The sequence below is a fragment of the Homo sapiens genome, chromosome 13, assembly GCF_000001405.40.
Source record: "Homo sapiens chromosome 13, GRCh38.p14 Primary Assembly".
NCBI classification, from domain to species: Eukaryota; Metazoa; Chordata; class Mammalia; order Primates; family Hominidae; genus Homo; species Homo sapiens.
In genome coordinates, this window is record NC_000013.11 from 20,763,605 (window position 1) to 20,785,457 (window position 21,853).

The 21,853-nt window shown below is 39.6% G+C and overlaps 2 protein-coding genes across 16 annotated transcripts in view, besides 1 other annotated feature; both read right to left on the minus strand.

Moving 5' to 3' along the window:
* EEF1AKMT1 (EEF1A lysine methyltransferase 1) overlaps positions 1–10,357 on the minus strand; it is a 45,231-nt gene extending 34,874 nt beyond the window's left edge. For 2 of the 4 annotated variants that reach the window (NR_134934.2, NM_001318939.2), the window contains exon 1: positions 10,317–10,357. The gene's annotated coding sequence lies outside the window, so the exon portion shown is untranslated. Of the gene's footprint in view, positions 1–8,261; positions 8,400–10,252 lie in introns of those variants that run through there. The other 2 variants (NM_174928.3, XM_017020432.2) reach the window with 2 other exon arrangements.
* Positions 9,712–9,931: an enhancer, noted in NCBI's record as "active region_7426". NCBI's record gives its function as "activates an Ori minimal core promoter by ATAC-STARR-seq in GM12878 lymphoblastoid cells {active_cell/tissue: GM12878}" and the evidence as "EXISTENCE:reporter gene assay evidence [ECO:0000049][PMID:35858748]".
* A 3,367-nt stretch (positions 10,358–13,724) lies between the features above and the next one.
* XPO4 (exportin 4) overlaps positions 13,725–21,853 on the minus strand; it is a 125,446-nt gene continuing 117,317 nt past the window's right edge. For all 12 annotated transcript variants that reach the window (NM_001372061.1, XM_047430537.1, NM_022459.5 and 9 more), the window contains one exon: positions 13,725–20,315. In NM_001372061.1, coding sequence (NP_001358990.1) covers positions 20,118–20,315 — 198 coding nt within the window. In that variant the 3' untranslated portion in view covers positions 13,725–20,117. The remainder of the gene's footprint in view (positions 20,316–21,853) is intronic.

The window sequence follows — 21,853 nt, forward strand, 5'->3', positions numbered from 1 at the left end:
ACCCACCCTGGCTAATTTTTGCATTTTTAGTAGAGATGGAGTTTCACCATGTTGGCCAGGCCAGTCTCAAACTCCTGACCTCTGGTGATCTGCCCGCCTAGGTCTCCCAAACTGCTGAGATTACAGGCATGAGCCACCATGCCTGGCCTGAAAATTTCTTGTATGAGAGGCCTTTAACTGCAAATTCAATTTAATACTTACACGGCTATTCACATTATCAGTTTCATATGGGGTGAGTTCTCGTAGTTTGTAGTTTCAACGAATTGGTCTGCTTCATCTAAGTTGTTAAAATTTATCTGGATAGAGATGTTTATAGCAGTCCTCAATTATTTCTAATGTCTTTAGGATCTGTACTGATATCCCCCATTTCATTCCTAATGTCAGTAATTTCTGTTTTCTCTTTTTTCTTACTAAAGGTTCATCAATTTTATTGATCTCTTTTAAAAAATAAGTTTTTGCATCATTGACTTTATTTTCAATTTCATTGATTTCTGCCTTTCATTTCCTTCCTTCTACTTGCTTTGCATTTGTTTTAAACTACCTTTTTGTTCTGGGAGTTTAGAACACTGTTTTGAGACCTTTCTTCTAATTTAAGTGTTCAGTGCTTTAAATTCCCTTTTAGCAACATCCCAGCAAATTTTTGTCCTTTTTCACCCATTTTCATTCAGTTCAGTGTACTTTTAAATTTCTCTCTGGCCCATATATTTAGAAGGACACTGTTTAATTTCCAAGTGTTTGGAGATTTTCCTATTAGGTTTTCTAGCATGTATAATTTCAACACTTTTTAAAAATGCTGAAGTTTGTGTAATAGCTATGGATATGGTCTATGTTGGTGAAATATTCCATGAATACTTGAAAACAATGTGTATTTTGATGTTGTTGGGTGAAGGTTATATAAATGTGAATAGATCCTTTTGGTTAATGGTGTTATTAAGTCCCCTGTATCCTTGCTGGTTTCCCATCTAGTAGTTCTATCGATTGCTGAGAGGGAATGGAAGTACCCAGCTGTAATTGTGGATTTGTCTGTTTCCTTTCAGTTCTATCAGTTTTTATTTCATGCTTCATGTAATTTAAATTGTTCTCGTTTGGTGCGTACATACTTAGAACTGTTGTTTGTTCTTGATGAATTCACTCTTTTTATCATTATGTAATTCTGTTGTTGTTCCTAGTGACTTCTTTACTCTTATAAGTCTACTTTACCTGCTATCAATAAAAGTGCTCATGCTTTTAAAAAAAAGCTTCTATGGCATATATTTTCCCCTTCCTTTCACTTTCAACACACACACACACACACACACACACACACACACACACCCTAATTTTGAAGTGAGTTTCTTGTGGGCAGCATATAGTTTTCGTCTAAAAAAAAAATCCTGGCCAGGCACAGTGGCTCACGCCTGTTATCCCAGCACTTTGAGAGGCTGAGGCGGGTGGATCACGAGGTCAGGAGTTTGAGACCAGCCTGGTCAACATAACGAAACCCCGTCTCTACTAAAAATACAAAAAACTAGCCGGGCATGGTGGAGGGCACCTGTAATCCCAGCTACTCGGGAGGCTGAGGCAGGAAAATCGCTTGAACCCGGGAGGCAGAGGTTACAGTGAGCGAGATCGTGCCACTGCACTCCAGCCCAGGCAACAGTGCAAGACTCCAACTCGAAAATAAAATAAAATAAAAATAAAAACTAAATCCTTACTGATAAGCTCCTTTATTGGTGCATCTGGACCTTTTACACTTAATGTTATTATTGATATATTGTGCTTAAGCCTATTTCATTATTTGCTTTCTGTTTCTTCCCTTGGGTTTTTTTTTTTTTTTTTTTTTTTTTGAGATAGAGTTTCACTCTTTCGCCCAGGCTGGAGTGCAGTGGTGCAATCTCAGCTCACTGCAACCTCCGCCTTCTAGTTTCACACGATTCCCCTGCCTCAGCCTCCCCAGTGGCTGCGATTACAAGCGCCGGCCACCACACCTGGCTATTTTTTGTATCTTTTAGTAGAGATGGGATTCACCATGTTGGCCAGGCTGGTCTCGAACTCCTGACCTCGTGATCCACCTGCCTTGGGCTCCCAAAGTGCTGGGATTACAGGCATGAGCCACTGCGTCTGGCCTCTTCTCTTGGTTTTAATTCTTGTTTCCTTTTCTAGCTTTCATATATGTTTCTTGAATTTTTTTTTTTTTAGAATTCTTTTATACCAAAAGACAAAATAGGAAAAACATTTCAACAGGCACTTTATAAAAGATGACATACAGATAATCAAACATCATATGACAAGGTATTCAACCTTGTCATGAGGGAATGCAAATTATAATCATAATGAGATACCACTATACACCTACCAGATTGACCGCAATTAAGAAGTCTAACATCAAGTAGGCATATATGAAAAGATGCTCAAAATAGAAATATGCAATAGAGGCTGGGCGTGGTGGCTCAAACCTGTAATCCCAGCACTTTGGGAGGCCAAGGTGGGCAGATCATGAGGTTAGGAGTTCAAGACCAGCCTGGCCAACATGGTGAAACCCCATCTCTACTAAAAATACAAAAAAATTAGCTGGGCATGTTGGCACTGCCTGTAATCTCAGCTATTTAGGAGGCTGAGGCAGGAGAATCACTTGAACCTGGGAGGAGGAGGTTGCAGTGGGCAGAGATCACAACACTGCACTCCAGCCTGGGTGACACAGTGAGACTCCATCTCAAAAAAAAAAAAAAAAAGAAAGAAAGAAAAGAAAAAGAAAAAAAGAAACATGTAATAGAAAAAATTAAACTCAACTGAAATGTCCAACCATTAGACAGTATATAATGTTGTATATTCCTACAGTATAAATATATTCACTACATAGCAGTGAAAACATTTTATGAATCTATTTCTTTCTCCATTGCTAGCTTACTAGCTGTGACTCTGTTATTTAAGAGGTTGCTTAAGAATTATGGTACATGGCTGGGTGCGGTGGCTCACGTCTGTAATCCCAGCACTTTGGGAGGCCAAGGCAGGTGGATCACCTGAAGTCAGGAGTTTGAGACTAGCCTGACCAATATGGTGAAATCCTGTCTCAACTAAAAATACAAAAATTAGCCAGGTGTGATGGCAGGCGCCTGTAGTCCCAGCTACTCAGGAGGCTGAGACAAGAGAATTGCTTGAACCTATGAGGCAGAGGTTGCAGCGAGCCAAGATCACACCACTGCACTCCAGCCTGGGCGACAGAGCAAGACTCCATCTCAAAAAAAACAAAAAAAGAAAAAGAAAAAAACAGAAGCTTAGAATAGTATACATAAATCCATTTCTCTTCTCCAAACCTTTGTGTTATTGTTGTCATACATTTTACTTTTACATTTGTTATAAATGCCACACTACATTGTTAAATTAAAAACTCATACATATATTTAACTCCTCATTCTGTTGTATAGATATTTCCAGATGGTGGGCCAGGCGCGGTGACTCACACCTGTAATCCCAGCACTTTGGGAGGCTGAGGTGGGCGGATCACGAGGTCAGGAGATCGAGACCATCCTGGCTAACACGGTGAAACCCCGTCTCCACTAAAAATACAAAAAATTAGCCGGGCGTTGTGGCAAGCACCTGTAGTCCCAGCTACTCGGGAGGCTGAGGCAGGAGAATGGCATGAACCCGGGAGGCGGAGCTTGCAGCGAGCCTAGATCTTGCCACTGCACTCCTGCCTGGGCGACAAAGCGAGATTCTGTCTCAAAAAAAAAAAAAAAAAAAAAAAAAAGATATTTCCAGCTGGTGTCATTTTCCTTCTGCTTGAATGACTTCGTTGAACATTCCTTGTAGTATAATTCTGCTGGTGATGCATTCTCTCAGCTTTTGTTTCTGATAATGTCTGTTTAACTGTGGGTATAGAATTTGAGGTTGACAAGTTTTCTTTTGGTATTTTAAAGATAGTCCTCCACTGTCTGTTCACTGCATTGTTTCCACACATAAAATCTGCTGTAATTCTTATTTTTCTTCATGTCTTTCTTTTCTAATGGTTTTTAAGGTTTTTCTCTTTATTACTGGTTTTGGGTATTTGATTATGATGTGCCTTGGTGTGGTTTTTTACACGTTTCTTGTATTTTGTGTTTATTGAGCTTCTTAAATTTGGAAAAACTCTGACCATTATTTCCCAAGTAATCTTCTGCTGCCCTTCCCTTTCAGGGACTCCAATTATACATATATTTAGTAGCTTCATATTGTACCACAACTCTCTGATGCTTTCTTCATTTTAAACTTCTTTCTCTTTGTATTTCATTTGTGATAGCTTCTATTTCTAGTGTTCAAGTTTACTAATCTTCTATTCTTCTATGTCTAATCTATTAATCCCATACAGTGTAATTTTCACCACAGACATTTCATCTCAGACCTATCTCCAAAAGTTACATGAGTCTTTATTTGCATATTTCCAGTTCACATGTTCAATTTTCCTCTAGCTTTTTGAAAGTACAGGATATAAATTTATTTTAGCATCCTTGTCCACTACTTCTAACATATATCTATTCTGGGTCAGTTTCAGTGGACTGATTTTCCCATTATGGATTGTATTTTCTTGCTTTTTCACATGTCTGATAGTTTTTTTATGGAATGCCAGACATTGTGGATTTTAACTTGTATCTGTATATTTCTGTATTCCTATGTAAGTATTCCTGAAACACAGGTTAATTACTTGGAAACAATTTGATCTTTTCAGGTCTCATTTTTAAGACTGTTAGATAAGAGCAGAGCAGCACTTAGTCTAGACTGATTACACCCCACTACGGAGGCAAAACCCTTTGAAGTACTCTATCCAATGCCCCATAAATTATGAGGTTTTCCAGTCCAGCTGGTAGAAAGACACTATTCTTGGTCTTGAATGAGTCAGGTATTGTTCCTTCAAATCTTTTCAGATGTTTATTTCCCTATCTTCCAGTAGTTTCTCAAGGAGGTCCCTCTGCAGATACCTGGAGTTCTTTCTCTATTCTCTCTGGTACTCAGCCTTCCACTCTAGCCATCTTGGCCTACCCAGATTCTCAGCTATTGTTAGGGTATTTTATGTGTGGCCCAAGACAATTCTTCTTCCAATGTGGCCCAGGGAAGCCAAAAGATTGGACACCTCAATCTTTTGAAGGGTCTACTGGAAGGCTTAGATGGTAAATAGTGTTTAATTTCAGCGAATTTCAGCTCTCTGATCAGCAGCAGCTACCCATTCTCACCCTCCAGCCCCCTGACAAGCAGCTATGCATGCATTCTTGTTTTAAATCTTAATTTATAAAGGTGACAGAGAGGACATGGAGAGATCAATGCCATTGAAAAGAAAGTTTAATGTTACAATTCTCCCCAGAAATGAGGGTCATGGCATGCCACAGGGGGCCACGTGAAACTCTGTCACAAGCAGAGACCACAAAGCAGAGAGAGGACCTGAGACTATGCCTTTATTGCTAAGTCAGTGGGATGGATCTAGGTGGGGATGTCCCCTGTTGGGCATAAAGCAAAAACAGACATTCTATGGTTGTCACTGGGAAGTCTGTGATATGAGTTTTGTGCACCCACGAGAGAGGGCTTAAAAGGATGATGTAAACAACTTTAGCCTTTAGTTTGTCCCTGTACTTAATATATGTCAAATAGGCAAACACAAAATCTAAGTAAACACAGAATAGTTCCAGGAGCAGCTTGGCTATGCACACATTCAGGAAACACCTTGCATAAAACTTACAGGAACCACCTGTCTTTCAAACATTGGAATAATCTGTTCTGACTCCCTTTGCTGCTTCTGATAAGAAAGCCAAAGATGCAGGTGGCAGCCATTGTTGCAAGCCCCTCTCCCTCTGGCTAAAGTGACCTCCAGCAGATTTAAAGGGCCAGCACCTTTCCCCCATGCTTCTACTTTTCTTTTATCCCTTCGGGAAGCCAGATATCTAAGGACTGAGACATTCAAACACAACTGCATATACAGGGGAATTTAGAAAGCCATTACACATTCCCAGGGAAAGGCATGGGCTCAGAAAATACCTGAGAAGATCTTAAGTTTACAACTCGTGCTGATCCCCAGCAAAAGACAGCCTACAAAATCAAAAAAACATAACAAAAACCCAGCAAAATCTGGTGAAGGGAGAACAATATGGCTTCCAGAGTTATCACATTATTACTCAAATGACTTATTTTTCAACATAAAAATTACAAGGCACACAAAGAAACAGGAAAGTACAGCCCATTCAAAGGAAAAAAAAAATAAAAGAGAAACCATCCCTGAGAAAGACTAGATGGTGGGCCTCATAGACAAAGACTTTAAAATAACTATCTTAAAGATTCTCAGATAACTAAAGAAAGGTGTAGAGAAAGTGAGGAAAATGACATATGAACAAAATGGAAATATAAATAGAGAGACAGAAAACATAAAAGGAGACTAAGTAGAAATTCTGGAGCTGAAAAATACAATAATGAAATGAAAAACTAACTAGAGGAATTAAAAGCAGTTTTGAGCAGGCAGAAGAGAATCAGCAAGCATGAATATAGGAAAATGAAATAAATACATACAATGGAATATGATTCCCTTGGAAAAGAAGGAAATTCTGATATATGCTACAATGTGGATAAACCTTCAGGACATTATGCTACGTGAAATAAGCCAGTCATTTAAAAAAATACTGCATAACTCCATTTATATGAAGTATCTAGAGTAGTCAAAATCAGAGAGGCAGAAAGTAGAATTGTGGTTGCTAGGGGCTGGGGGGAGGGGAGAATAGGGTTTAATGGGTGTACTGTTCAGTTTTATAAGATGAAAAGTGATGGATTATCTACTTTTAAGGTTTTTATACTTAGAACTAAAAATAATTTCAGTCAACACGGGGTTGTCTATAGAAGTCCCACCAAAGAATGGTACAAATGCTTGAAATGAATAGTTCTAGTTTACTGCAATAAGCATAAGCACAAAAACACATTTTCAGGAAAGCATACCAGAACCCAACAGGCCGGAAAATTTCCAAGTAAAAATTCCAAAGATTAGCTTGTGTGCATGCTGAACTGAGAAAACATGGCAAAATGATCTGCAAACAACTAAAAGGTTTCAATTTGGTATTTCAGAACTGTGAGTTCTTTTCATTCAGGAGAAAAATCAGGCAACTAGTAAAAGCCAATATTGCCTGGCAAAATCGAAGAGTACAAGTTCCTTAAAAAAGGCTGCACCACAATACTGCCTAGAACTGAAAGAAAAATAAAAGTGTGTTTGTGTGTGTATATGAGTGTGTCCATATACATATGCAGACACATACATACACACATATGCATATATATTTATCCTTGACATATAAATTTTTTTTTTTTTTTGAGACAGGGTTTCACTCTGCTGCCCAGGCTGGAGTGCAGTGGTGCGATTGTGGCTCCCTGCAGCCTCAAATTCCCCAGCTCAAGCAATTACCCCAGCTCAGCCTCCTGAGTAGCTGGGACTACAGATGCACACTACCATGTCCAGCTAATTTTTGTAGAGACGGGGGTCTCGTCATGTTGCCCAGGCTGGTCCTGAACTCCTCGATTCAAGTGATCTACCCACCTTGTTCTCCCAAAGTGCTAAGATTACAAACATGAGCCATTATGCCCAGCCAATTCCATTTTTATTAGTACTTTCCACAGCTGCGTCACTGAAGAAGGGCTTTTAAATAACAGCCTGTAACTTGTTAATCACTTAGAAATAAAACATGAAAACCAAAAAGGAACCAGTTGACTATAAATGCAAAACAAGGAATTCCAAAGAGCAATTTAATAAAATTGTCGCCTTTCATAGCTGTAAAAGGCAATTAAATTCCAATCTATATAAGAATTTGATCCCAAAATGAAAGTATAAAGAGTACCAAATCCATTCCTTTGATAATCATTTTCTACCCTGTAGAAAGCACTGTTCTTGGTGATGAGTCTCAAAGTCCTTATTCTCTTGGAGCTTACATTCTAGAGAGGAAAAGACAGACTAAAACAATACATATGAAATAAATGTTAGATGACAATAAGATTAATGGAGGAACACATGGAGAGCATAGGGGGCTGCAATTTTAGGAATCGTAGAAGTTTCCTACATTGTTAAAGTGAGTTCAAAAGTGCATCACTTCTTCTAATGAGGAAAACTGAAATCTGTTAGCAAGATAAACATCAAAGATTAAATGAAATGGCCGGGAGTGGTGGCTCACGCCTGTAATCCAAGCACTTTGGGAGATCGAGGCGGGCAGATCACCTTAGGTAAAGAATTCGGGATCAGCCTGGCCAACATGGTGAAACCCTGTCTCTACTAAAAATACAAAAATTACCCAGGTGTGGTGGCAGGCACCTATAGCGCCAGCTACTCAGGAGGCTGAGACAGGAGAATCGCTTGAACCCAGGAGATGGAGGTTGCAGTCAGCTGAGATCTCGCCATTGCACTCCAGCCTGAATGACAGGAGTGAGACTACATTTCAAAAAAAAAAAATTAAATTAAATGAACCTATTTTTAACTATTTTTTAAATCACTATTTTATCATATCTTTATTGTTTTTAAAATTTCTAAGGGGGTTTATGAGATTTTTCAAATCCAAAAGAGCTGGGAAGTACTGTGTTATATTATTATTATTTTTAAATTTTTTCTGGCTACTCTGGGCACACTGTCTATGGCTGGCCCTGCCCCACAAGTGGCAGTAAAAAAAATTTTTTTCTTTAGATTTTAAAACTTGTACCTATGGATTATATTGAAATTATATTATTATTAAGCTGACCTTGGACCTTATGTGGCTCAGACTCTAAATCAGCAGTTCTCACAGAATGAGGAGCCCTTTTGTCGCTAAGGGGAACATCTGGCAATGCCTAGAGACATTTTTGGTTGCCGTAAATGGGAAGGAGGGTGCTACTGGCATCAGGTGGGTAGAGGCTGCTGAACTTAAAATTCACAGGACAGCCCTCCACATTAAAGAAGTATCCCGCCCTACAAGCTGCAGTTGAGAAATTCTAGGTTAGGCAGACACATGGCGAACACCAACGGTAAGGTGGAGGCCCTCTATAGAGAAGCACCATTCACGCCATGGGATCAGAGTGGAGGGCCTGAGTGGGGAGAGGAGTGAAAGAGCAGGTGGAGCTTCAACTCGGCCTCAGGAAAAGGTAAGGATGAAGAGTGAAGACTTCAGAAAGATGGAACAGCATGAGCAAAGGGGCGGACACGTTAGCTTGCAGCATAAGCAGGGATTAGCTGGCTTCTCAGGGGCTGTGGTTAGTCTCTTTTTGGATAAAATTACTCAATTTCCATGTTATCAAATTTACTTAGGGCAAAACCACCATACTGTAATTTCAACATTCATTCTTGTGTGAAATTAGGTTAAGATAGTGTGATTCAGAGCAAAGAGCATTAACCTAGGAGCCATCCCAGACTCCAGTAAACCGCAGGAGAGCAAGGCTCCCTCTATGAATGGGTAAGGCCTAGATATTCTCCAAATACTTTTTATAAATTGCTGGATGATTCTCCCCTTAATCCAATTTACGTCCAGAAAAGGGCCAAAGGTTTTCATTCTGTTTTCATCTTTGAGTCCCCCTGCCTCAAACAGTTCCTTCCTTCTTGCTTTCCAGAATTCTATTTATCCTGTTTTTAAATTAACTTTAAAAAGGAGGTAATGCTTACAATGAAATGCAGGTCGTACGTGTGCAGTGCGACGTTGTGATGTACGCCCCATGTAACCACAACCCCTATAAGGAAGGCCTTCCTGTCTGACATGTGGCTCCCTCCCGGTAGGGACCCGCTATCGTCCCAGCACTTCTTCTGCACCTCCGAAGCTACTGCCCGTTTCGCAGTAAAGCCGCCCGCGTCCTAGTCTACTCCACCTCGCAGCACCCGCATCCTGCAAGGGACCTGCCTCAGAAGCCCCAGCGACAGGCGCCGCGGGTGCCCGCCCTCCAGGAGCGGACAGTCAGGCCTGGGCATTTCGCAAACTCCATCAGCGAACTTCTGAGGGCAAAGATGAAAAGGACAGCAGGCCGAGTCCTGTTTCTACTCGGAGGGAAGGGAGGCCTCCACGCGCTGCCGTAGCCTGGGGGTTAATTTCCCCGTCAGCACCAAGGCTGCCTAAGGCCCGGGCGCCAACGTGCGCGGCACAGGACGCGGCGCCTTCCGGCGACCGGGACGCGAGGCCCAACAGCGCCTAACACAGCAACCAGGATCCACTCTCAGGCCGGCGCCAGCTCCTTCCCTCAGGAATCCGCCAGCCACTGCTAATTAAACTCTTCCACCACTACCACCCTGGAAAAAAGGTGAGAAACAAACACACAAAAGGCACCTAACCCAGTCCAAAACGCCTCGGCGGCGCGCAGCCAACCCTACAGCTGCGCCCGAACCCGCCACTCACCAGCCGCGCGTGCGCAGTCGCCCAGACTCGCCGTGTGCAGTGGGAGTGGCTAGCCAGTCTCGCTAGCGCAGGCGCAGGCCCTCCCGCCCAGGCCCTTGCGCAAGGCAGGCCATCTCCCCGCAGCGTCTCAATCCCGCGTTTACAACACTGAGGGCCGTCTCCAGCCTGGAGTCGTTCCTTCGCTTGTCTCATCAGCCGCCCCCAAGAATGGTAGCAAAAAAACAACAACAACAAAAAAAATGAAGGCCCTGGCAGGGCGCGGTGGCTCACGCCTGTAATCCCAACACTTTGGGAGGCCGAGGCGGGCGGATCACCTGAGGTCAGGAGTTCGAGACCAGCCTTACCAACATGGTGAAACCTCGTCTCTACTAAAAAATACAAAAATTAGCTGGCCGTGGTCGCGTGCGCCTGTAATCCCAGCTACCCAGGAGGCTGAGGCAGGAGACTCGCTGGAACCCGGGAGGCAGAGGCTACAATGAGCCGAGATCGCACCACAGCTACTCCAGCCTGGGCGACAGAGCAAGGCAACATCTAAAAAAAAAAAAATTAAGATCCTAATTAAAGTTAAACCCACTATTTTGCACTGAGTCACGTAGATTTTCAAAGTCAAGGCTTCATTGGTCGATTGTCTGCTCAGTCTTTTTAAATCAAATCGTTGACTTTAAATGTTGACATCAAATTGAGGCTTTGGTAAAATTGACAGGATTGGCGGTAGCGGGGGGGAACCTTTAAAACTTGTTAGTCTTTCAGAGTCTTCAGTTTTGAATGAGTTGGTCAATATATGTATTTAGACATCAAGCGCCGTAAGTATGTATGATTTTTGTCAACAACACCTTAATTATCTTGCACATACAGGCACTGATTATTGAAAGGTTCCCTTACGTTTTAGCAGCTACCAAATTATAAGTGATACAAAGTATTTGTTTCCAATTCCCCAAGAAATCAATCTGTATTATGCTTCTACCCTCTCTTTCCTCCATTTTCTTTACCAATTTCATGATCTTGCTAAATTTTATATATTCTGCTGAGCAATGTGAAAATCCTTTCTGGTATAAGGTAAGGATATAAACTGTTCAGCTGGCAAATGATGCTATTCAGTAAGTAGTTAATGAAACAGGTTTATAACATTGGGTGTACTATAATTTCTATTTTAAGAACTGTTTCCAGTTTATAATAACCCATGCTACATTTTGACTTTGTTTTGAATTGATGACAAGTCTATTAACCAAATATTTCAAGATCAGGTGTATTCTGGAAAAGGAACAGGAAGAAAATATATTTAAAAAACTAAAAGAAATTTAACACAAACTGAGAAACAATAACCAACTTTTATGAGTGCATTTTTTATGGAGGTGGTGTTCAGTAAATAAGACTGCCCTAGCTTATAACTACTTTAACAGAAGTTTACATTCAGTCAAATTGAGTCTGAAACAGTAGATCATTTTCTTTCAAAGCTGACATTGCTTTAATAGCATGTAAGACATGTTATCTTCATGTATTTTACTATATACTATTTTTACTATGAAAGTGACCACAGATGTCAGAGTTTTTTGTACCTTCACTAGACCTGATTGCTCAGACAGCATGAGAGTAATACAGTAAGATTCATATTTTCCTGGTGAAACCTATGCACTGTAATTTAATGGTTTTTGCAAATCATAAACATGTAAAATATCAAAGGAGTACTTATTCTCATTAAAGGGGAAATTACTTGTCCAGTTAAATTGGATATGAAGGATGTCTTCAATTCAGGAATTATTCCTTTTGTGTATTCACCAGTGATTTTTGTTCGTCTTGCTTCTCTTCAGAAATGGTGTAAAAAAGAAAGTAAACCAGACTTGGGACCAGGTGCAGGGCTCACGCCAGTACTTTGGGAGGCCAAGGTGGGCAGATCACCTGAGGTCAGGAGTTTGAGACCAGCCTGGTCAACATGGCGGAACTCCATCTCTACTAAAAATACAAAAATTAGCCCGGTGTGGTGGCACACGCCTGTATTCCCAGCTACCTGGGAGGCTGAGGCAGGAGAATCGCTTACACCCGGGAGGTGGAGGTTGCAGTGAGTCAAGATCACGCCATTGCACTCCAGCCTGGGTGACAGAGGGAGCCTCTGTCTCAAAAAAACAAAACAAAACAAACCACACTAGACTCAGTTTTTCTTAAAACAACAACAAATTACCTGTAAGTACAAAAACAGATTCAGGTGTTTGTTTTTCTTCCATTGAGTGCTTTATCACAGAGTTATTCGAATTATCCTAAGCATGTTGCAAAGGACATTCCTTAGATTTCTAGTCCTGTAAGGTACTTTGAGAAAAGACTGTATAAAGTAAAATGAGGAAAATCTGATTAAACTCTTCTTCTGAGTTTCACCATAGGCATTAATGTATTAAAGCCTTCAACTTAATGCACTAAAGAAACCTGTTTTATTTATCAAAACTATTTAACAACAATTATTTTAAAAAATTACTAATTAAACTCACTTTGGGAATCACCGTTAGGATTTTTTTTTTTTTTTTTTTTTGAGACGGAGTCTCGCTCTGTCGCCCAGGCTGGAGTGCAGTGGCGCGATCTCGGCTCACTGCAAGCTCCGCCTCCCGGGTTCACGCCATTTTCCTGCCTCAGCCTCCCGAGTAGCTGGGACCACAGCTGCCCGCCACCACGCCCAGCTTTTTGTTTTTTTTTTTTGTATTTTTAGTAGAGACAGGGTTTCACCGTGTTAGCTAGGGTGGTCTCGATCTCCTGACCTCGTGATCCGCCCGCCTCAGCCTCCCAAAGTGCTGGGATTACAGGCGTCAGCCACCGCGCGCCCGGCCAGGATTTTTTCATTGTTGTAGAAATAATAGGTGCCTATTCAGCAGAAAATAAAATCCTTGTTGCTGTGGTTTGAATAGCTCCCTTGCAAAATTCAATTGTTGCCAATGTGCCAGTATGAAGAGGTGGGGCCTTTAAGAGGTGATTAGGCCAAGAGAGTTCCTCCCTAATGAATAAAATTAGGTCCCATTACAAAGGGGCTTGAAGGAGGGAGTTGATTCTCTCTCGCCACCATCTGGTGATGGCTTGCTTGCCTCTTCCACATGATGGAAGTCAAAGGGCAGCCTCCAGAAATGAAAGAAGTAAGTTTCTGTTCTTCAGTCTCAGGTATTCTAATAGCACAGAGTAAGATAGTTGAATTAAATAGAACAGACTAAGATAGTTAACATAAATAGATCCATTTTCTCATTTTTTAAAAAAAAGTACAGTAAATAATATGGTGAAGTCTACCCCAATATCCCTAGGGTGGTTGTGGTTAGGGCTATAACGTAGTATCAATATGAAGATATTACAGCATGTATTTAAAAGCAATTGACTATTAGGTATCAGACTTAGTGTTATGATACATTTGTCTAATGAAATGAAATCTGTTTTCAGAAATAATCTTTAAATACAATGGAATTTATTGAGCATCTACTATTATATTTCATCCATCACTTTTAAATTTTTTCTTTGGGAGGAACACTTATAAACTCATGATATGGATAACAGACCTGTGGAAATTAATGTAAGCCCTAAGCAGCTTAGTTAGACATTGAATCTAGGTCTGCCTCTACCCTGCAGTCTACCAGTTCAAGTAGCTTTACCAGGTCAGTCCTTAGAAATAACCATAACATCCAGGGCAGTGCAGTTATAAACAGGTGTACAAATAAGAAGTTCTACTACTCAATACATCTTGGGCTTTCTTAAAGGTGTATTTGAAGCCTAAGATTAGGCAGAAATGAACATTATCAAAACAAGAACAAAACTGCTCACTACTGTGGGAATAAAAATGTTTAGCAGATCCTATTTGCTTTTGTTCATTCATCATCTCTGGGAAACATCAATGACTTACCTCAGTTCACTCTCATGCTATATATTAAAAATAATTTACAGGGACACTCAGTAGGAGGTTGAATTATACGCCAGACTGAGACAGGATGCTGCTGGGGGTGCTGTATGGAATTTCCCAGCAAAAGATTCTTTCATTAGTTTCACCAAATATACCATTTCCACTTAGTTTTAAAAGAAAGTCAAACTGAACTGCCATTTGAGATTACATAGAATGCACAAGACTCAATCTGAGACCCTATGTTTAAAAAAACAAAACTGTTTTATAATCTAATCAGCCTGTCAAAGGCATCACTCATAAGCAACCGAATTGTATTTTTGGAGAGCACCATTAAAGATGTCTTTTAAAAAACAGTTATAGATGTGTATTTATTTGGGACCTTTGAAATCATCTGTGGGTCTCAAATGACAGATGATTAGCCTGTGTGTATGGCCCCACACTTGGTAATGAAAGAAACAAAAATTCAAAATACACTCTAATTGGTTTTCTTAAACAACTTTTCTTTATCCACCTTTGGAGTGGAATAAATCTCAATATAAGCTAAATAACAACATTACAAATCAAAGAATATTCAAAGCAAATTCAGGTTAAAAATGAACATTTTAAAGATGCATTTTCTTTAAAAATTAACTTTTCACTTCATATGTTTACAAGATTTAACACTGGGCAAAGGGTGGATCTATCTAGCACACAGTAATATGGTAATTCACCACTTTCCCTGAAAGGCCAAAAAGAATGACTTGCTAAAAGTATTTACTAAATATGCACCAAAGATAATGACTTAACTAGTAACTGTGAAACTGTTTCTAAGACTGTGGGCTGAGATAAATATTATAAAATATAGACAAAATTTTTATATTTCTAATACTGGATATTCTGTGAGTACCACGGGTTCTCCCAGAAGGTGATGCAAATCTTGATTTTTATCTGTACAGATGTCTTCATTTTTTTAAATTTAAAATTATTTTAGGACCGTGTAATGTCCCCAGTGTCAATCTTCCTATAATGGTAAACAAACTAGCACCATTTCAATGCATTTCATAAAAGAGTCTAGCTAAATACCCATGAACAAATCACACATGGTCAAAACAAAAATGTAATAAAAATATTTAGTGAAAAGACACATTTTAACTCCCATTTATGAATTTTAAAAATACAAATAAAATTTTATCAACCTGATATTCAGCCTATAACTGGCTCAATACATAGCCTTATTTCCTAAAATCATATTGCAGCATCTTCTGAAAAACTAAATGCAATTTTATACCTTCATTAGTTATGTTAATAGAGGTAAATATTTAAACAGTACACTCATCCCTGGGTCTTTAAATAAAACTGAAAAGTCTTAGTGTAAGTTTAAAATTTTAATATTTATAAATTTAAAAAATTTTACACGTGCTGAGTGGTAGCAGTGCTAACATTTTTGTGACCATTAAACCACAAACTCACTGCATAGAGCTTCTTTCTTTGTACAGATAATCAAATCACAATACCAACATTTGCAATTTGTAATAATTTTATGTGGTAAAAGACACCACACCAGGAAGCCTGGGCTCAGAAAACACTTGAGGTCAGATCCCTAGTAGGTACATAGTGCAGATGCAGTATATAATTTCAGGCTAGGAAAATTAGCTACTAGTATGTATCTGACAGTTCCTAATAGCTAAGAGGCCTAAGAATGCAGACGGGGAGAAAAAAAACCAAAACCAAAAAAAAAGACACCTCTCCAATTGCTGGGAGGGCCTGGGAATAGGTGAAGATCAAACCACAGTGGGAGAGGAGGGTAAAGATGTGAGCTTCAAGCGGGTAATGGGCAAGCCACACCTCCCAGTTCCTAGGAGGGAATCGCCACGGCCGACTTCAGCATTCTCGTCTTTACTAAGACTTACCCATAGAGAACTACAGCAGGAAACCGATTTCTTCATTCATTCTCTTTAAAAAGTATGAATGCCCAGTATTAAGCTTCTATTTTTATTTGAACCAAACATATTCTTTGGTTAACTATGTCATGGGTTCTCACTATAATCAACAAAGCATACTTCATATATTTTATATCTAAATGAAAATATGCTTAAAATTCAACTGGAACCATGGCATTTCACATCAATTTGAGCTCAGCAATATGCCTAATTTGGACATTTTAATTTTAGAAAACCAATTTTTAAAAATTCTTAAATGCAGTGTTTTCAGAACATAGTTACCAAGTCAGAGAATAACCACTTATATTTTAAAAAGATTAAAACATTATTATATCCTCAAATCAACAATGTTTTTTTGTGGGAAAGCTTACAGAAAATTATAATGTTAAACCTCATAGCCAAATCAGTTCCTTATTCTCTGGTTTTAGAAAACACAAACAAACCTTAAGAAGTACCGAGGTTCCTTCTGACTTAAAAGGTTAATGTTTTATTCAGGAACCAATAACAATAATTCCTCATCAAAGACAGCTAACTTAGTAAGGTCAATTGACAACCACCTCTAACAACAGAGGTGGCAAACAGATAAAAATTGTTTAACAGAGAAAAATATTATTTCAGGGTTCAGAATGATGTTGAATACTAGGAGACTCAAACTTGTAATCCTTGAAACTGACAGCTAGTTCCCTTCAATACTTTAGGGGTTCATAGAAGTATTAACAGAAATGGGAAACATGGTGATATTACAACTATAAAGACTTGACATTTTTGTTAAAAGAGAAAGTTCAAAGACAGTTAAGGGGAGTGTTAAATAATGCTGACTGGGGGGAAATGATATAGATACTTGCTTTTCAAATGAAAATCATGGACAAGTGGTAGTAACCATCCCATCTGAACAGAGTAATGTAATATAATTAGATACACAGTTTACAACGAAATAAGACTAAATTCTTAAAATTAGTTTGAAAAAAACCTGCAGTTTGTTTACATTAAAAGTCATACTTTACACCAGACAAAAACTCAATGCAGTGATGTTAACATGCTACTGTCTTCTAACAGAGATGGCCACCCTGAAAGACCCAAATAATGGTGCTGGAAAGGACACTGTCAAATACTGTCAGGTAGTTTTGCTACTGAGGCAGCCACTCATCCAGCACAAGGACTATAAAAGCAAATCAATCCTTTTAACAGAACAAGAACACAGTTACAGGTGCTACCACATTAACAGACTGTGAAAGTACAAAGTCTTTAGTGATTGTGCCTTGGGAAATAAATGGGTCAAGGAAAATAAAATGAGAAACAAACAAAGGATGTATGGAAAACTAGAGGTTAAAGGATACTATATGAACAACAGAAATTTTATAAAACAAAAATCTAAAAATGAAATACTTGACAGTGTCCCTTTGACATATATAAAAGAGGGCACAAATAATGTTTTTGTTTTAAAAAATATTTTAACAACAGTTTTAATAGAAAAAAAATCAACTGACTTGAATTAAGCCAGTGTTCTTGACACCCACTGGGCCAAGAGCATTAAAACAAAACAAGACCGGAGAAGTTAATAAACACAGCTAAAGACAAAATTGGACAAAATAAAACAAAAGAAAACACAAAGTGAATAAGCATCCAATCAGGCAAACATGGACACAACCACCCTGAAAAGGTCTAGCCGTTGCAACTCAGTGGCATCCCCATCACCTAAAAAATGGTAGTGGCTTCTCCCCACCCCAGTGAGCTAATATTCAACATTCTGCTGATCTTATAAGTATTATTTGGTCCAATCTGAAGAAGGTCTTTTTAAACTAAAACTAGTCTAATGAAATTACACCTCAGGAATATGGAGGTGAAATTTTCTATTTTTAGTATTGTAATAGGATCTGGGCAAATTTTGCAAATATGTTGCCATCTGGATAAAAGTTATTAAATATAGATGCCTTTTTACTTACCAAGGCATTCCTTTCCCACTCCTCTTTAGTTTTAATAACTTGATTATAGTTTTGTCATGGCGCGTGGACCTGTCCAGTCAATTGTGTGTTTCAGTGCCCTTTGGTAAAGAGACTGTACTTAGCACACACACAGATACACATAATTCACAACAGCTGAGAAAGCTTGAGGGATCTGGGAAACACAAAACACCAAGAACAATGCAAAACAAATAGATTACTGCTGCATATCACTTCAAGTTTTTTAAGGGGAAAAAAAAAACACCTAAAAATAAATGCATCAAAGTATTTTTTAAAATACAGAAACGTGTACTTCTGGATGACTGATATTAATTTCCTTCCTAGCAGTCTTTTCAAGATGTTTTTGCTTCCCCTTAATTGTGACTCAAAGCTAATCAAATTGAGAGAAATGTAAGTTATGGCCCAAGGCCCTGCATTCACATCTACCTAACATCACATGCACAGGTTGGATGTAATTCAGATGCTCCAGTTTTGTTAACTGTTAATAACACAGAATTATACAAAGTTTTGCACAGCATCACATGTAATGACACATATGCTATATGCAATCAGGTAGAAAAACCGTATTTGCAGAATGGTTTAATAGATAGGTGTCAGGAACATGGTGGAAGCAGAGTTTCATGAGTGCACCTGTGCCAGAGTCCTCTACCTGTCACTGTGCTGTGAAAGTACTGCAATGAGTGGAGTTTCATATGCCTGCTGTGTATAAATTAGCTTTCATTTCCACATTGTAAGCTGGCACACTGAATTAGGGGAGCCTGGCAGCTGTATAAAAATCCTGATTAAGAGATCAAACTAGAGGATCTAAAGTGAATTTTTAATCTCTGAAATTAAATTCACTGGCTCCCATGTCTGGATAAGAATTATTGCCCCTAATGCCCCAACGTGCAATAGTCTGTGTGAATCAGTGATTCACATCCTTTAAAATAATTATTGCTTAAGCAAGCCATTTAGAGTAGATATGGGCTATGTGGCTGGATAGAAACACACTCAAAAAGTTAGACTAGACGGAAACAAGCCTTTCATTTCACTGATAAACCTACATAAATACACGATCGAAAGGGGCAACAGGTTCATAGCAGCTAACACCCTAAACCAACTCTGAAGCATCAAGACGTGGTTTCTTACTAAAACAAATCAGCTGTTTTTGTATTTTCCTCTTAAAATTAAGGCAATGAAATGGCTACAGTTCCTAAGGTTATTTTTACGGAACAAAAATATACATGTATTTTCCTCCTCAAGTTCAGGCATCAGAGTATGATTAGTGACTTGTATTACACAAAACCTGCAGCACTGGGTTGATGTGAGAGAGAGAGAGAAAAGAAAGAGAGAGACAGAAAGCAAGAAAAGCAAGAAAGCAAGCAAGCAAGAAAGCAAGCTAAGAAAAAGCCAACAAACCCCTGGTGATGTTTCCCCTTCCTGCTGAATTATAAAACCCAATCATCAAAGGGAGGAAAAGCTAGAAAGCACAAAACCTCTTAAGAGTTTTCAATGTCTCTTTCATTGATTCAAAACTTTTGGGGTGACGAAAGGGAGAAGCTTATTAACATGAAGACTCCTGGGCCCAACAACCAGACATTCTGACTCTGAAGGTCTACAGTTGGGCCTAAGAATCTGCCTTTTCACCAGCTCCTCAAGTGATGCAGGCGATCTATGGAGATTTTGAGAAACACTGCCTAGCATATATCCATTTCATATTTAATGACAAAAATTCTAAACTTTGGCTAGCCACCTATGTTAAAAGGAAAAAAGGCACTGCATATGTATTTCGTGGTGCCCATATCTGTTTGCACATATATGGAATTTCATTTTGAAAATTTTAAATCACCATTCAGAATCTAAAAGACATATATATGACAGATTGTGGCTAACACTTAACAGCAGAAGCTGATGCCAAGTTGACCTCTCCTGTTTCACTGTATTACATACATATCAAAGTTTCAGGCTCTCCAAAATCCAAAATGGCCAAATGAACTGAGGAATAGGACAAGACTCAAGTCAACTTTCAGCAATTCAGTGCACTTTGCAGAAAGGATCTAAATTAAGCATAAAGTTCTGTTGTTTATTTTACACAAAGGAGACCACCAACATTTGCCATAAATTCTTCTAAACTCTTTAAGAAGGCCATCTTCTGCTTCCGATCCAGCGTAGGAGGAGTGCTGCTTGCAGTGAGCTTGTTGAAGGCATCTGCTAATCTCTGGTAAATAACTGGGTCTTGCTGACTTGATAGTAATGTTTCGACCAGTTCAGAATATTCAGCCTATTGAAGAGATAAAGTATACACAAGTATCCTCCTTAGAATATCATACAAGTAGATCTTATCAGTTACTGGACTGTGGGGTTCTAAAAGGCAGGGACACATTTTTAAGAGTTAACATTTAGAATAATTCAGCATTTAAGTACTACTGTTTGAAAACCTTTTACATGGATTAATTCATCTATCATTTACAACAATGCTTCGAGACAGGTACTGTTTCTATTCCCATTCCAGAGGTGAAGGTTTCGACACTCAGTGAGGTGAAGTGATATGGCCCAGATCAAGCAAGAGTCCACCAATCTAGCCCCAAGACCCATGTGATAATCAACTTTGTTGTGCTGCCTCTTCAAAGCACATTATTCCTATTTATGTTGCGTTTGACACATAATCTAAGTCTGCAATAGTTCCCCAGAGGTTAATAGAGATATCTGGTCCACCCAGTTCTGAGGACAGCAATGTGCACAAAGACAGGACAGGCAGGAGTCTTTTGGGAGGACGGGGCGGAGAAATATATTCCAGTGCCTTCTCCAAGTGGAGCAGGGCACTCTGAAAGCTCCAAACCAGCACTGTGCCCAGCAGCTCTTAGAGAAAGGGCAGGAAGAGGACTTTAGTAAATATAGGAATATGGGAAATTTTCTGTTTTTAATACTCTATTATAAAGCCTTATAAAGGAAAGTGGAAGAAGGTGTGGGCTTAAGGGAAATTCAACCAGGACAGAGGTAAGCTCTCAAAAAAAGCTGGCCTGGCCAAGCATAGTGGCTCAGGCCTTTAATGCCAGCACTTTGGGAGGCTGAGGAGGGATGACTGTTTGAGCCCGGGAATTTGAGACCAGCCTGAGCAACACAGTGAGATCCCACCTCTACAAAAAATTTAAAAATTAGGCAGTTGTGGTGGTGCACAGCTGTAGTCCCAGCTACTTGGGAGGCTGAGATGGGAGATCGCTTGAGCCCAAGAGGTTGAGGCTGCAGTGAGCCATGGTTGCTCCACTGCACTCCAGCCTGGGCAACAGAGTGAGATCCTGTCTCACTGCAACCTCTGTTTCCTGGGTTCAAGTGATCCTCCTACCTCAGCCTCCTAAGAGCCTGGGACTACAGGCATGCACCACCATCCCTGGCTAATTTTTGAATTTTTAGTAGGGACAGGGTTCTGCAATGTTGAGCAGGCTGGTCTCAAGCTCCCAGCCTCAATCAATCCACCCACCTTGGTCTCCCAAAGTGCAAAAATTACAAGCATGAGCCACTGCACCTGGCATGCTGTAATTTTTCATTGGCTTCTTGGGATATCATGATAGACCAAAATGGTGAAACCAAATGTTAATTACATTTGGAAAAGAAGGATAAGGTGCAGCATCCCAATCCCCAACCATGGAGCCAGAGTGGCTCCCCTAATTGCCTTATCAAAGGGACAGTCCTGTTCACAGGGGACCAAGTATAATCTCCTATCATTTCCCTACTCATGAGAAATGGTAGAGGTGGCAAGGCATGGTGGCTCACACCTGTAATCCTAGGCACTTTGGGAGGCCGAGGCGAGTGGATTGCTTA